The sequence below is a fragment of the Homo sapiens genome, chromosome 5, assembly GCF_000001405.40.
Source record: "Homo sapiens chromosome 5, GRCh38.p14 Primary Assembly".
NCBI classification, from domain to species: Eukaryota; Metazoa; Chordata; class Mammalia; order Primates; family Hominidae; genus Homo; species Homo sapiens.
In genome coordinates this window covers 1,144,135-1,158,223 of record NC_000005.10, presented here as the reverse complement: position 1 = coordinate 1,158,223, position 14,089 = coordinate 1,144,135, and the positions used below count along the sequence as shown (strand labels likewise).

Genomic DNA, 14,089 nt, shown 5'->3' with positions numbered 1-14,089 from the left:
TTTAGAGTTCTGCAAGGTAGAAGATTACAAAAGAAACACACAACAGCCAAAGGTGTTTCATCCTGTTTTTACATGTCAGTCCAGTAGTGACAAGAATGTGAATACACACACATAAATTAATGGAAAAAATGTGCAGGACCTGGGTGAAAATATTTGACACCATAAAGATGTCAGTTCTCAGCAAATTTATTTATACATTTAGTGACTTTTCAACCAAATCAGAAATGTATTTGGGGGGAACGTCCAAAAATGATTCAAAAGTTCATCTTGGAAAAAGGTGTGGGGAGGTGGGAACAGGTGTGAGAAGGTTGAGCAGGTGGGAAGAGGTGTGGACAGATGTCAGCAGGTGTGAGCCAGTGTGGGCAGGTGTGGGCAGGTGGGAACAGGTGTGAGTAGATGTGAGCAGGCTGGAACAGGTGTGGACAGATGTGTGCAGGTGTGAGCCAGTGTGGGCAGGTGTGAGCAGATGAGAACAGGTGTGAGCAGGTGTGGGCAGGTGGCACAGGAGTGAGTAGGTGTGGGCAGGCTGGAACAGGTGTGGACAGATGTGTGAAGGTGTGAGCCAGTGTGGGCAGGTGTGAGCAGATGGGAACAGGTGTGGGCAGGTGGGAACAGGTGTGAGTAGATGTGAGCAGGCTGGAACAGGTGTGGACAGATGTGTGCAGGTGTGAGCCAGCGTGGGCAGGTGGCACAGGGGTGAGTAGGTGTGAGCAGGCTGGAACAGGTGTGGACAGATGTGAGCAGGTGTGAGCCAGTGTGGGCAGGTGGGAACAGGTGTGAGTAGATGTGAGCAGGCTGGAACAGGTGTGGACATATGTGTGCAGGTATGAGCCAGTGTGGGCAGGTGTGAGCAGATGGGAACAGGTGTGGGCAGGTGGCACAGGGGTGAGTAGGTGTGAGTGGGCTGGAACAGCTGTGGACAGATGTCAGCAGGTGTGAGCCAGTGTGGGCAGGTGTGAGCAGGCATGCCTGCCGGTGCCACATGAGTGGAGGTGGGGCGATGGTGAGAGGATGTGCTGAAGAAAGGAGTTCTCATCCTCCCTGGTCTTTCCACTGGTGTTAGCTGTGCCCTTGAGACCCAGCCTCTGGTGATTTCTTATCCATAGCACCACAGACATGGGTGAGGCGTGTTTCTCAGCCTTCTGCACACGAAGGTGTGGCCACAGGACTAAGTTCTGGCTAACAGGATAAGCGAAGGTGCTATGTGCACTCCTAGGCTTCCTAGGCTGTGCTCTGCGAAGGAGTGGCTAGCTACCTTTCCCGTTTCCTCACTCTACTGCTGGGATTCAGATGTGATGGCTGGACCAGCAGCAGCCACCGTGGACGACGAGGGCAGAGTATGACTGGAGGCAGCACAGCTGACCACTTGCTCCCTGTAAGTCACTGTCTAGATGTCACCTGAGGCCCTCCCCACACCTCAGAGCTCTTACCCTTGCCTCCCTCTAGAACCTACACTTCACGGAGGCAGGGGTTCCCTTCTGTCACCTGCAGGGCCCGGCACAGGTTAGCATTCATAAATATTTATTGAATCTGTGAATACATATTGTAAAGTGCTCAATACTTCCACGCAAGGTGGTGGCAACAGCATCATTAGAGGGGAGGAAAGAGCCAGTTGCAGAATTTGTGCAGCTGCGGTGGTTGCAGGAACCCCTGAAGAGCAGGCGGGGTCTCCCAAGACTTCTAGGGTCCGCGGCTCCCAGCGCCTCCGCAGCCAGGCTGGCCTCCGCCTTCCACCCTGGCTGCCCCGGAGGCCTTTCTCCCCAGGTGGAAGTCCCAGGAGGAGGCCTCTGCCTCGCACGCAGGCACGGCTGAACCCTGCTTGGCCAAGGGCTGGAGTCTGGGGATGGGGGAGGTGGAGGCCCCAGATCAGGGCGCCCCTCCCCACGGACCCAAAGGCCAGCGAGACCTCCACCCTCACCGGCCCCCTGGTCCCGGCCCTCGGTGGGCGTCGCCAGAGACCGCGGGCTGCAGCGTTGCTGCCAGGGTTGGTCGTCGTCGGTTCCAGGCGGCGCAGAGCGAGGTCTGTTCCTCCCCTCAGGCTTCTGCACCGCGCGCTGACCCGGTCGCCCGGCTGGGGCGTCTCCAAGGTCACGCAGCGAGAGCCGAGGCCGCTCTTCGTTCTTCGGGGGCCGAGGCCGTGGTCCCCCCGCGGGCAGGGACCGCTGCCGAGGTGTCAGCCGGAGTCCGCCTCGCCCTCCCGGCCCCTCCCCGCGCCGCGCGGCCCCATCCCCGGCGGTGCGCTCGGTCCCTCTCTCCCCCCCGGCCTCCCTCCCTTCCTCCCGGCCTCCCGCGCCCGCCCCGCCGGCCCCGCCCTCCCCGCGCTCAGGTCCCCGCTCCCCGCAGCCGTCGCGGACACCATGTCCCAGCGCTTCGTGGTGACCCCCGCGGCGGGGGGTGCGGGGCCCGGGGCCAAGGAAGGCGACAGCCAGCGCCCCACCCCGAGCCCCCGCCGGGCCCCCGACCCCGGCCTGGACCCCGCAGCCGCGCCCGAGCCGCCTGACGAGGACCCGCTTCCCATTCTGCTCTACTGCCGCGAGCCCGGCCGCTACGGTAGGTGCGCGCAGGTGCCGGTCCCCTCGAGGGGCGCAGGTGGGCGGCGGCGGCCTGGCGGGCCGGCGGGGGTGGGGCTCCCGGTCAGCCCGGGGGTCGGTCCCTGCCTGGGGTCCCCCCAGCCCAGCGGAGCCCCGCCCCTGCCGCCCGCCGCGCGCTCCGGGGACCTGGGGCAGTTCCCTGCGGGGATCCCGCCCTGTCCGGGGCCTGCAGGTGACACCGAGCCGGGGCAGGGGCCGCGGGGATGGGCCGACAGCTCCCGGGGCGCCCTCTGACCTCGCTGTTCCCGCGGCTGCAGAGTCCAGACGGGGTCACTTCGCGGGGAGGGCGGGGACCAGGCAGAAAAGGGGCCCTGTTCTCGTCCAGGGCTGCCTCTCTCGGGACCACGGCGGGTCCCTGAGGCCTTGGGCGGGGCTGTGATCTGATGATTTATAGCGCGGGAGGGTGGCAGGGGTCTGGCCCGGCAGATCTGGGAAGCAGTGGGGGTTCGTCCCTGCGGGGAGCAGAACCGTGTCCTCCTGACCACTCGCTGCTCACACGGGGGTCCCGAAGCCTGAGGTGGGCGAGGGGCCTGGGAGGGCGGGGCGGGGGCGGGGGGAGGCAGAGGACCCAGAGCCAAGCCCGCTTCCAGTGGGCTGAGGAGGGCCCTGCCTGGGACCATGGAGTGCCCCCCGCCAGCCTTGGCCACACAGAGGCCACCAGGCCTGGACCCTGGCTTGGGCTTAAAGCTCGTGGGCCCCGAGGACAGATGTCCCTGAGCTGTCACTCTCTCGTGGGACCTGGGTGCCCCGAGGGTCCATCTGCTGTTCCCGCCTGGCATGGCCAGGGTAGGCTGCTCTGAAGACCTGCGGTTACTGCGATGTCTTGCCCTGTGAGGGGCCGGGGATGAGGCAGGTCCCAGGCAGAAGGGCTCCGACGGGCCCTGGGGGACCCAGCTCACGTGTGTGGGGGCCGTGCGTGTCCGTTTCGCCTGTTCATGTATGTCACACATGTGAGAGTCCACAGCGAGGGCAGCCTTTACACGCGATGGCCCAGAGGAGCGAGCATCTCAGGCTCCTCAGCACGTCTCTGTGCTGACCTCCTGCAGCACTGCCGGGAGCCATGTGAGTGTCCACGCCTGTGTGTGTCCGTGTGTGTGTCTATGTGTGTGCTGTGTGGTATGTGTATATGTCTATAGTGTGATGTGTGTATATGTGTGTGTATGGCATATGAGGTGTGTGTGTCTATATTATGTGTAGTGTGTGTCTGTGTCTAGATGTGTGTGGTGCATTGTATGTGTCTCTGTGTGTGTGTGTGTGTGTGTGTGTGTGTGTGTGTGTTGCGGACACCAGTTGTCCAGGACTGCATGGATTGGTACAGGGGTGTGGTGGGAGCTGTGGTCTGTGTCTCAGTTGGATTCGGCTCAGTGCCCTAGATAGGTTGTGGACACACACGCTTTGGAGACAAGGTTAGGGTTAGGGTTGGGATTAGGGGTTAGGGGTTAGGGTTAGGGTTAGGGACACAAGCCTGTGGAGATGAGGTGGACGGGACACTTGTTCCTGTGGGTTAGGGTTAGCGTCAGGAACACATGCGTGTGGAGATGAAAAGGATGGGACACTTGTTATTCTCGGTTAGGGTTAGGGTTGGGAACACATGCGTGTGGAGATGAGATGGACGAGACACCTGCCCTTCTAGGTGGCAGCTGTGGCTCTCGGGTCCAGCCCTGTCCTTCTCCTGAGCCTGGAGTCATTTCTTGGACTCCAGGGTCATGCCCTGCAATGTCTGATACAGGATGCTGTGGTCTCCTCCCTAAAGGAAGACCCTGTCTTCAAACAGCTGCTGTGTGGCACTCCCCAGATGCACACAAAGTTTTCTCTCTAGTTCTGAAGTCAGCCTGCTCACCAGGGTGCACGTTCCTCTTGATTTTCTCTGTGGAGGCCAACAAAGGAGCTGGTGATTCTGCAGGTCGCCGGTTAGTGTGAACTAGAGCGCCAAGTCAGGGCTGCAGGGTTCTCGGGCGTCCTCAGGCCTTGTTTGTTCCGGGGGAAATGGTTTGACAACACGGCTTGTGGCAACAGGGGCTTCCCCATGGGCTGTTCCTTGGCTCTGTAGTGCCAGGGCCAGCACCCCAGGCATGGACAGGGTCCTGAGTCGGGCCGACCCTACTGGTCTCCTCCACGCCTCATTCTCCTTTCTAGGGAGCCTTGGCCTCTCCTCCGGGTGCCCAGCACACTGGCCCATGGACCCCCCCAGAGGCCCCTGAGGAAAGCGTGTGGGGGCAGGTGAAGGTCTGAACTCATCTGTCCTTCCTGCTTCAGGCTGTGAATGTTTGCACATTCATGTGGGCATGGAGGGAGGTGTTGCCTTAATCCTGGATGGAGCAGGTGGGAGACCCCGTTCAGGCCTAGCATTCCCCCACCCACCTCATCTCCTCTTTGGGGTGGGTGCTTGGAGGCTGGGCTGGACCGCCCAGGGACTGGGCAAGCCCGTCCCTCCTCCCACGTCAGCACCCGGGGGTAGAGACCCTGTGCCCACGGCCATGCGGCTGCCTGGCTGCCGTGGACAGCTGGGCTCCAGTCCTGTGGGGGTTGGAGGAGGATGGCTCCAGCCAACCATCAGCTGAATGATTTTGTGTCGTGCCCGCTACATATGAACAGAAGACCTATTATTTAACAGTGCCATTAAGACAATGTAAACCAAGTTTAAAAAAGCAAACAAACATTTTATTGGCATGCGTTGGGCGCCACAGGAATTGCATGCCAGGCGGGCCATTTGTCCTGGGCTGACCTTCCCTTGCAGATGTGTGGCCTGGTGATCAGATGAACTTTCTAATCCTCCAGAGACAGCTCCTCTCTGCTCACAGGCCCCAGGGATAAGTCAGTAATCCCCGCAGGCCTCCCCCGTGTCGGTCATCCCTCAGTTTTCAATGCAGGAATCCACACCGACTTTGTACTCAGTTGACTTTGCTGAGAATGGCTGGGGTGTGTCGGTGCTGAGGCAGTGCATGGTCCGGGGGGCGTCTCCGTTCTGTAAGGGAGTCGCCCTTCTCTAGCTTGGGGGTCTCCGTTCTCTAGCTTGGGGGTCTCCCTTCTCTAGCTTGGGGGACTCCCTTCTCTAGCTTGGGGGATCTCCCTTACCAGGGAGGTCTCCCTTCTCTAGGGGATGGGTCCCTTCTCTCTGCCACAGGATGTAAACATGCCATTGGGACTCTCGCCCTGTGCCAGCATCCCCCTCGGTCCTGCTGGGTGAGCCCACGGGCACAGGCAGGTCTGACAGGGGCTTTCCGGCTATGTTTTTGCATCAAGGAGGGTGGTGCCACTTCCTGCTCAGCAGGGAGCAGCCTGTGGCTTCTACACTCAGTTGGTGGCCGGCCGCAGAGTCAGCCTTGCAGGCATGACTGCCCCCTGCACACTGTGGCATCTTCCGTGGGCACAAGGGTGGGTGGCCGGGTGTGCAGGGCAGAGGGGAGATGAGCTGGGGAACACCAGACGATCGCACAGCCTCCTAGTCCTGTGGGAGGGTCCAGCTGGGAGGTGATGGGGCTGGCCATTTCACAAAGCAAAGGAGAGGGGAGGGGAGGGGAGACAGGGAGCACCAGGCAATGGCAGAGCCCCCTGGCCCTGTGGGAAGGTCCAGCTCGGCATTGATAGGACCATTTCACAGATGGTTCCAGAGGCTCCAGAAGGTGAATGTGACTGCACCCTCTTTCCCAGTGAAGGGATGCCGATGACAGCCCCCATGTAGCTTCCTCTGTGGGACGGTTTCAGCGGGGTCCCAGATCCAGCTATCAGGACATGGCAGGATTCGTCACCTGGCGTGCCCCCAGACCCGGAAGGGATGAGGAAAGGTAGGTTCCCAGCCTGCAAGGAGAGCCGTGTGCAGGAGGCTGCCCAGAGGACAGGACGTTCAGGGAGGTCCAAGTGGCTCAAGGCCACAGCTGAGGGGGAGCACAAGCTGTGCGCCCCTCACCACCCACCCCCTGCCCCCCGCCTCCCGGGCTGCACTGAGCCTGCTCTAGAGGATGGGCAGGCTGGAACTCAGGGTCCCTCAGCCTGTCGGACCCTTCTGGCACCGGTTGGTTCTGGTGGTTTTCACCCCTGGCACTGGGACAGAGACCAGTTCTGAGTCCCTGATTAGAGGGTTGGGCCTTTTGTTCCCTGCAGCTGTTGTTATGGCTGGTGGGGCCATCAGAGCCCTACAGACGCTCATAATTATACCTGGAGGGTTGTGTGCAGCCCAGAACACTCTGGGAGGCCAAAGGAACCCTCCCCTAGTGCTGGGGCTGGCAGAGGCCGGGCCCCTGCAGACGCCAGCTTAGCAACGGCGCCCACTGACATCTTCAATGAGATGTGTGCCGAGGCCAGGCTGAGGTTTCTTTGTGTGTCTCTGTGTGTGAGTGGATGTCTGCATCTCTGTGGAGCGTGTTGGGTTTTTGCCGCTTAAGGAGAAGGTGAAGAGTTCGTTGCCTGAGCCTTGGAAACTGCTCTGGCTGGGAAGCAACGCTCATGGTAGAAGGCGCCTTTGCAAGCCTGAGCTTTGTGAGCTGGGATCCCGGGGATCTGGAACAGGAGGATCCTTGGGTACCACCCATGGGCCCAGACCCTGCTGGCACAGCAGTGAGGCTCTGGCCCCGCCATCTCCGTCCAGCTCCCAAGGCCGCCCTCCCCATCCGTGGACCACAGGAGAGTGGGCTGCCCCCTCAGCCTTTGCCTTCTGATGGGGGAAAGCCTCAGGAAAATCCCATGTCCTCAGCTGGCTGCATGCTCTCCTTGTTGGGAAAATCAGACCACCAGGCTGCTTCTGCGTGCCCTCCTGGGCCACTCAGAAACGTGGTGTGCAGATCCCAGGCGGAGGCCACTGGTTCTGGTGTCTGAAAACCTGCCAGCCCCACGGGGCAGGCTCTGTTTTCTTTTTGCTTAAATATTTCATGGAGCTCGGCCGTCGTGTTCATCCATGAGCTGCCTCTAGTTATCTGTGGAGCAGGACAAGCTTGCGTTTTGTCACTTTGCTCTTAAAGAAGTCTCGACTCAGTGATTTTAATTTTGGCTTTAAAAGAAAATGCTTGAACGCATGTCCATCCTTTCTGTTCTTTGCTATTTAGTGTTTAATTTGGCTTCTTTTTCCACTGGAGGGGACCTGGGTTTTGAGACACCAGCTCCATGTATACACCAGAATTTTCTTTAAATAAAGACTTGAATATTCGGAAGAGATCCTGCAGCTCAGCTGCTTGTGGCATGAGTTGGGGTCCTCACTGTGGGCTGGGCCTTTGGGCCTTGGTGCAGGGCTCCACCCAGGTGCCTCCTCTGTTCCTCTGGTCGAGGCCTGTGCCCTGAAAATGAGGGATGGGGTTAGGGGGCAGGTGTGTGTGCATGGATGTCGGCTCCTGCATGGCTCTATCGGGGTCGGGGGAGGGGCAGAGGAAACTACAAGCACAGACTAAAAAAAATGCAAACACACATCAGAGGACACACACAGAGTAGAAGAACAGCTCCCGGGATGGGAGAGAGCATTTGCAAATCATAGAGCTGATGAGGGGTTCATACCCAGAGGATGCCAAGAACTCCTACAACTCAACAGCAACAGCAAACAAATACACCCTTTTAAAAATGGGAAAAGGGCTTAAATAGCTATTTCTCTGTTTTTATTGTTGTTGTTTTTTTCTTTGAGGTGGAGTTTCGCTCTCGTTGCCCAGGCTGGAGTGCAATGGCACGATCTCAGCTCACCGCAACCTCCACCTCCCAGATTCAAGCGATTCTCCTGCCTCAGCCTCCCGAGTAACTGGAATTGCAGGCGTGCACCACCATGCCCAGCTAATTTTTTGTATTGTGAGTAGAGACGGAGTTTCACCATGTTGGCCAGGCTGGTCTCAAACTCCTGACATCAGGTGATCCGCCCACCTTGGCCTCCCAAAGTGCTGGGATAACAGATGTGAACCACCGCACCCGGCTTGAATAGCCATTTCTTCAAAAAGATACACAAATGATAATAAGCACATGGAGAGATGCTTCACATCCCTAATCACTAGAGAAATGCAAATCAACACTAATAATTGTGAAGACACCACTTCACAACTATTTGAATGGCTCTTATTTTTATTTTTTTTAATTTATTTGTTTTTGAGAGGGAGTTTTTCTCTGTTGCCCAGGCCGCAGTGCAGTGGCACCATCTCGGCTCACTACAACCTCCACCTCCCGGGTTCAAGTGATTATCTTGCCTCAGCCTCCAGAGTAGCTGGGATTACAGGCACCTGCCACCACGCCTGGCTAATTTTTATATTTTTAGTAGAGATGCGGTTTCGCCATGTTGGCCAGGCTGGTCTCGAACTCCTGACCTCAAGTGATCTGCCCACCTTGGCCTCCCAAAGTGCTGGGATTACAGGTGTGAGCCGCCGCGCCTGGCCAGGCTCTTATTTTTAGAATGGACAATACCGTGTTGGTGAGGATGTTACAAGTGGGGACCCTTGTGCGCTGCTTGTGGGAATGTAAAGTGGCATGGCTGGAAAACAGATGTCAGAAGCTCACACGGTAGCATCATAGGATCCACAGTCCCCCTTCTGGGTGCGGCATCGTAGGATCCACAGTCCCCCTTCTGGGTGTAGGGGCTCAGAGAGACATTTGCACATCCATGTTCCTGGGAGCATCATTCACGGTAGACACAGGTGGAAGCAACCCAGTTGTCCGTGGGTGGATGAACGGATTCATAAAATGTGACATGTACTTTTAAACAAAAATTATGGGCAGCTGTTGTTTTGAATGGAGCTCCTACACCAGGCCCCAATACATCACTCCATTTTGGTTTGGCCTGAAGGCTAAATGGCATCATCAAACTGAAACTTTAAGGAAGCAGATAGATCCCAAAGCTGACCAGTTTTTTCTGAAAACAGGAGACTGCAGTCTACCTGGTCAGTGTACAAAGGAAGTCCCTCTGCTTTAACCCTTACAACAAGGAACCTGAGGGAACCCGATGTCAACCGTCAGCCTTTCTTCTGTTCCGTGTCCCTGTACCCACTTTACAAAACCCACTGTTGGCCATTGCCCAGGGGGAGCTCTCATTCCTCGACTGAGGCTGCCCCATTCGTGAATCGAGAATAAAGGCCAATTCAATCTACAGCTAAATTTGTTATAATTTTGTATAACATTTTGATAGTACATGTAGTGGAATATTATTTAGCCTTAAAAAGTATCAACAAAGGCCAGGTGCGGTGGCTCACGCCTGTAATACCAGCACTCTGGGAGGCCAAAGCAGGTGGATCACAAGGTCAGGAGATAGAGACCATCCTGGCTAACATGGTGAAACCCCGTCTCTACTAAAATACAAAAAATTAGCCGGGCGTGGTGGTGGGCGCCTGTAGTCCCAGCTAGTAGGGAGGCTGAGGCAGGAGAATGGTGTGAACCTGGGAGGCGGAGCTTGCAGTGAGTGGAGATCGCACCACTGCACTCCAGCCTGGGTGACAGAGCGAGACGCCATCTCAAAAAAAAAAAAAAAAAAAGAAAGAAAGAAAAAAGTATCAACAAAAAAAAGCAAACTCTGTAAAATATTTAAAGAGGTTTATTCTGAGCCAATGTGAGTGACCATGGCCCAGAAAACAGCTTCAGGAGGGCCTGAGAGCCTGTGCCTGAGGCAGTTACAGTTTGGTTGTATACATTTCAGGGAGACAGAAGTTACAGGCAAAGCCAGGCGAGGCATAATCCCAGCTCTTTGGGAGGCTGAGGTGGGGGAATTGTTTCCCTACAGGAGTTCAAGACCACCCTGGGCAACATAGCAAGATCCCGTCTCTACAAAAAATTTTCTAAAAATTAGCCAGGCGTGGTGGTGCACACCCACGGTCCCACCTGCTTGGGAAGCTGAGGCTCCAGTCCGGGAGGTCAAGGCCACAATGAGCTGTGATTGAGATACTACTCTCAGCCTGGGTGACAGAGTGAGACCCTGTCTCAAAAAAGTAATTAATTAATTTAATTAAATAAAGAAGTTACAGGCAAAGGCATAAATCAGTACATGGAAAGTATACATTGATTCGGTGGGAAATGAGGGACATCTTGAAGGGGAGCAGAGAGATTTAAATGTTTTCTGATTAGTATTTGGGTGAAAGAGTTAAGCTGAAGACGTGAAGGCTTGCAGTGGGTGGAAAGAATCACTTGGCTTCAGCTGAGGGGCTGTGGAGACCAAGGTGCTGGTGACGTAGAAGCCTCCAGGAGGCGGCCCCGAGAGGACAGAGGGCAGGCAGGGCCTTCAAATGTGTGGGGACTCCTGGCGGGTCTCTCCGGGTGTGGGACCCTCGGCGGGTCTCTCCGGGTCGGAGGGACTCTCGGTGGGTCTCTATACCAGGGTCAGGCTGGATTTGGGGTCTTACCGCCACAGAGTCTGTTCTGCCGTCTTTGGATAACTATTTTGGAGTTAGTGTGGGTCAGCTGCACCTGAACTCCTAAAGGCGGGGGCGGGGGGGGTGGCGGGGTGGGCCGTGATGAGGAGAGTCCCTCCTCCCTTCTGTCACCGTGGGAATTTAGTGTTTCCTGTTGCCCTGGGTCCCCTTGTCCAAGAGGGGTGTTCCGTTCATTTGTCTGTGGGACTTTGGATTTTGTTTTTAGTTTACAAAAGAAAGGAAATTCAGACACACACTGCCACATGGATGGAGGCTGAGGACATTGTGTGAACGAAATAAGCCTGTCGATGAAAAGAGCGAAAGTCTGTGAAATATTTGAAGAGATTGATTCTGAGCCACACAGAGTGACTGTGCAGTGACACGGCCCTCGGGAGGTGGGCGGGTGCAGCTGGGCCTTAGTTCAGGCGGGCATGAGACATTTAAGATATACATTGGTCAGGTCCAGAAAGGCGGGACAGCTCCAAGTGGGGCTTCCAGGTCATAGGTAGATTTAAAAATGTTCTGATTGGCAATTGTTTGGGAGTTACTATCAATAGAAAGGATTGTCTGGGTTAGGGTAAGGGGCTGTGGAGGCCAAGGTTTCATCATGCAGGTGAAGCCTCCAGGTAGCAGGCTCCAGAGAGAAGAGATTGTATGGTGTTTCTTACCAGACTTAAGGTCTGTGTTGATGTTACTGCTGGTCGGCTTTTCCTAAATTCCGAAAGGGAGGAGGGCGGCATGAGGCATGGCCGACCACCGCTTCCCGTCGTGGCCTGAAGCAGTCTTTCTGGTTAACGTTGGGGTGTCCTGGCCCAGAGGAGGGGTCCATCCAGACGGTCGGGGAGGAGCCTTAGAATTTTATTTTTTGTTTACACTGCAGAGATGGCTTTGAACACCTCTCAGCAGGCCACCACTGCTCCCACCCACATGCAGGCACCCCAGGCTTCATTCCACGGCCAGGTCAGAGGGACCCAGGCCTGGAGGTCCGTGGTCACTGGCCCAGGTGGTCACCTCCAGGGGTCACCAGCATCTGGGCTCCCACAACTCCACTCCAAAAGCCCACCTGCTGGCAGGTCCCTGAGGTCTCATCACAGACCTGGAGACTCTCCCAGAGGAGCCTCAAGAAGGTGGGTGACCAGGGAATGGCCCCTCCTGCTGGGAGCAGGTTCCAGGGAGAGCCTTTGGGAATGAGGAGGGATGGGGCAGCCAGACACAGAAAGGTCAATCCTGCAGAATAACAGTTGCAGGCAGAGCCTGGAGTTGTCAAATTCTGGGAGACGGAGGCAGAACGGGGACTGCCAGGGGCTGGGGGAGGGGAATGGGAGTCAGTTTAATGGGTGCAGAGCTGCAGTTTTGCAAAGGAAGTTCTGGAGAAGGATGGCGGTGATGGTTTTACAGCATTGTGACTGCATTTAATGCCACTGAACTGCTCACCCAAAAATGGTAAAAATGGTAAAATGTTATGTGTATTTTATCACAATACAAAAAATACCAAAAAGAAAATGCAAGCAGACAGTAGGGGCCTAGAGATAAACTAAACCCTCCCGCACCCCCAGCCCCTTCCTTCTGCAGAGGACAGAGGCGCTTGATCCTGGCCTCTAGTTTTCTGAGAGGAGGCCAGTTTGATTAAATCAATTCACACCTAGGCAGGCTCTCCAGGGAGGGGGTCCTGTTTAATCTAAATTACTCTCTGCAAGGTGCTCTTTCAGGCCTCTTGGAAGAGATATTTTTGTCCAGGGACCTTCCTGTTTCAAATAACATCCTTTGTGAGCCCTTCCTGGCTGGTCCTGGAAAGGTCAGTGAAGGGGCTGGCAGCCTCTGACTTCCTGTGGGCAGATTCCAGGAAGGGGCAGCAAGCCTGGCCGCTAGGCAGCCTGCAGCCTCCGATGGCTCCTCAGTGCTCCAAGAGCAAGCACCTGGCCGCAATTACCCCGCTGGGCACTCGGGGCTTCTGCAGGGGCACCTCAGCTGGGAATTAGGGGGAGGGGTGACCACCCCAGCAGCTGTGTCCCCACAGGGAGGGGGTCTGCGGAACCGGCCATCATTTACTGCACAGACCGTGTGATGGACATGAGCCCTCGCTGGTCTTCCAGGCCCACTGGCAGCGGCCCCTGCCTGGCCCTTGTGGCCACTCACTGTCCTGTCTCCAGAGACCCCACACCCAAGTGTGAGGGCCGAGTTCTCGGCCAGGTTCCCTTTGAAGAAGGGGTGATCCCTGGGCCCCCTGCGGCCTCCAGCTGCTGTCCCACGCAGGCTCTCTCCAGCCCTCCAGGCCCGGCCTGGCCGTGCCGACAGCACATGCTCCTTCCCCAGCCCCGGCCCGGTTGGTCCAGTGGTGCTGGCTGCTGCTGTGGGTGCTGCACTTCCTTCCTCGGATGCAGTAAACTTCACGTTTTGCCTCAGGACGTTCCGAATCAGCCATGGGAATTGAACACTGGTTTAAAGCCACATTGGTGTCATCCCTGCTTTCTGCCGCTCGGAGGCCTGTGCATGCGCAGCCGGGATGGCAGTGGCCCCTGTTTATTCAGACGGGCATTTCAGCAGGGCTGGAACTCAGAGACACACCTGGTTCTAGTCTTTGCTTCCTTGCCTGTAATTTTCTCACATGTCCCCACTGCAGCCTGGTGATCTGTTGGTCTGGAAGTGGTACAGGTGTTAATGGATAAATAGCTGTACTCAATTGTAAAGTGTGGTGCGGTCCGCTGGTTTGAGGGGTCATTTTCAAGGCGGGTGCCCACCAGGCTGCCTGCCTCACCAGCTCACCATGACCCAGCGTGACCTCACCGTGCCCTCCACCCAGCGTGACCCGGAGCTGAGGGCTCCTCCCGTTCCACAGTTGAATTCCTGCCCCCAAATTGTCATGATGATGCTGGGACCAAGAACAGGTGGGTGGGGGCAGTGGCGGCGGCCTGGGAGCAACTGGTTTAAAGCTGGAGTGAAAACCCTGACTCTCCAGGATCTCGTTCAAAGGGGCCACTCCTTGTCGGAGCTGCCCTGAGCTGCCCTGGCAGAGCAAGGCCCTGGCGTGGAGCCCGGGACGTGGGCCCCTGCCTTGTGGGAGCTTGGGCATGGCGTAAGCCCCAGACACCATCCTCTCCCGCCACCCGGCGCTGCGCCGGCCAACTTCCCCTCCCTGAGGTTGGCGGGTGCGTCCAGGTCCCCTCCCTGAGGTTGGTGGGTGCGTCCACGTCCTCTCCCTGA

The 14,089-nt window shown here is 57.0% G+C and overlaps 1 protein-coding gene across 1 annotated transcript in view, besides 1 other annotated feature; it reads left to right on the top strand.

Moving 5' to 3' along the window:
* The first annotated feature begins 2,324 nt into the window (after window positions 1–2,324).
* The window catches only part of SLC12A7 (solute carrier family 12 member 7), a 105,516-nt gene continuing 93,751 nt past the window's right edge, over window positions 2,325–14,089 (top strand). Inside the window, exon 1 of the mRNA XM_011513941.3 lies at window positions 2,325–2,550. Coding sequence (XP_011512243.2) covers window positions 2,358–2,550 — 193 coding nt within the window. The 5' untranslated portion in view covers window positions 2,325–2,357. The remainder of the gene's footprint in view (window positions 2,551–14,089) is intronic.
* Window positions 5,385–5,910: an enhancer, noted in NCBI's record as "H3K4me1 hESC enhancer chr5:1152429-1152954 (GRCh37/hg19 assembly coordinates)". NCBI's record gives its function as "activates a minimal SCP1, AML or CMV promoter by ChIP-STARR-seq in naive H9 embryonic stem cells {active_cell/tissue: H9 hESC(naive)}" and the evidence as "EXISTENCE:reporter gene assay evidence [ECO:0000049][PMID:30033119]".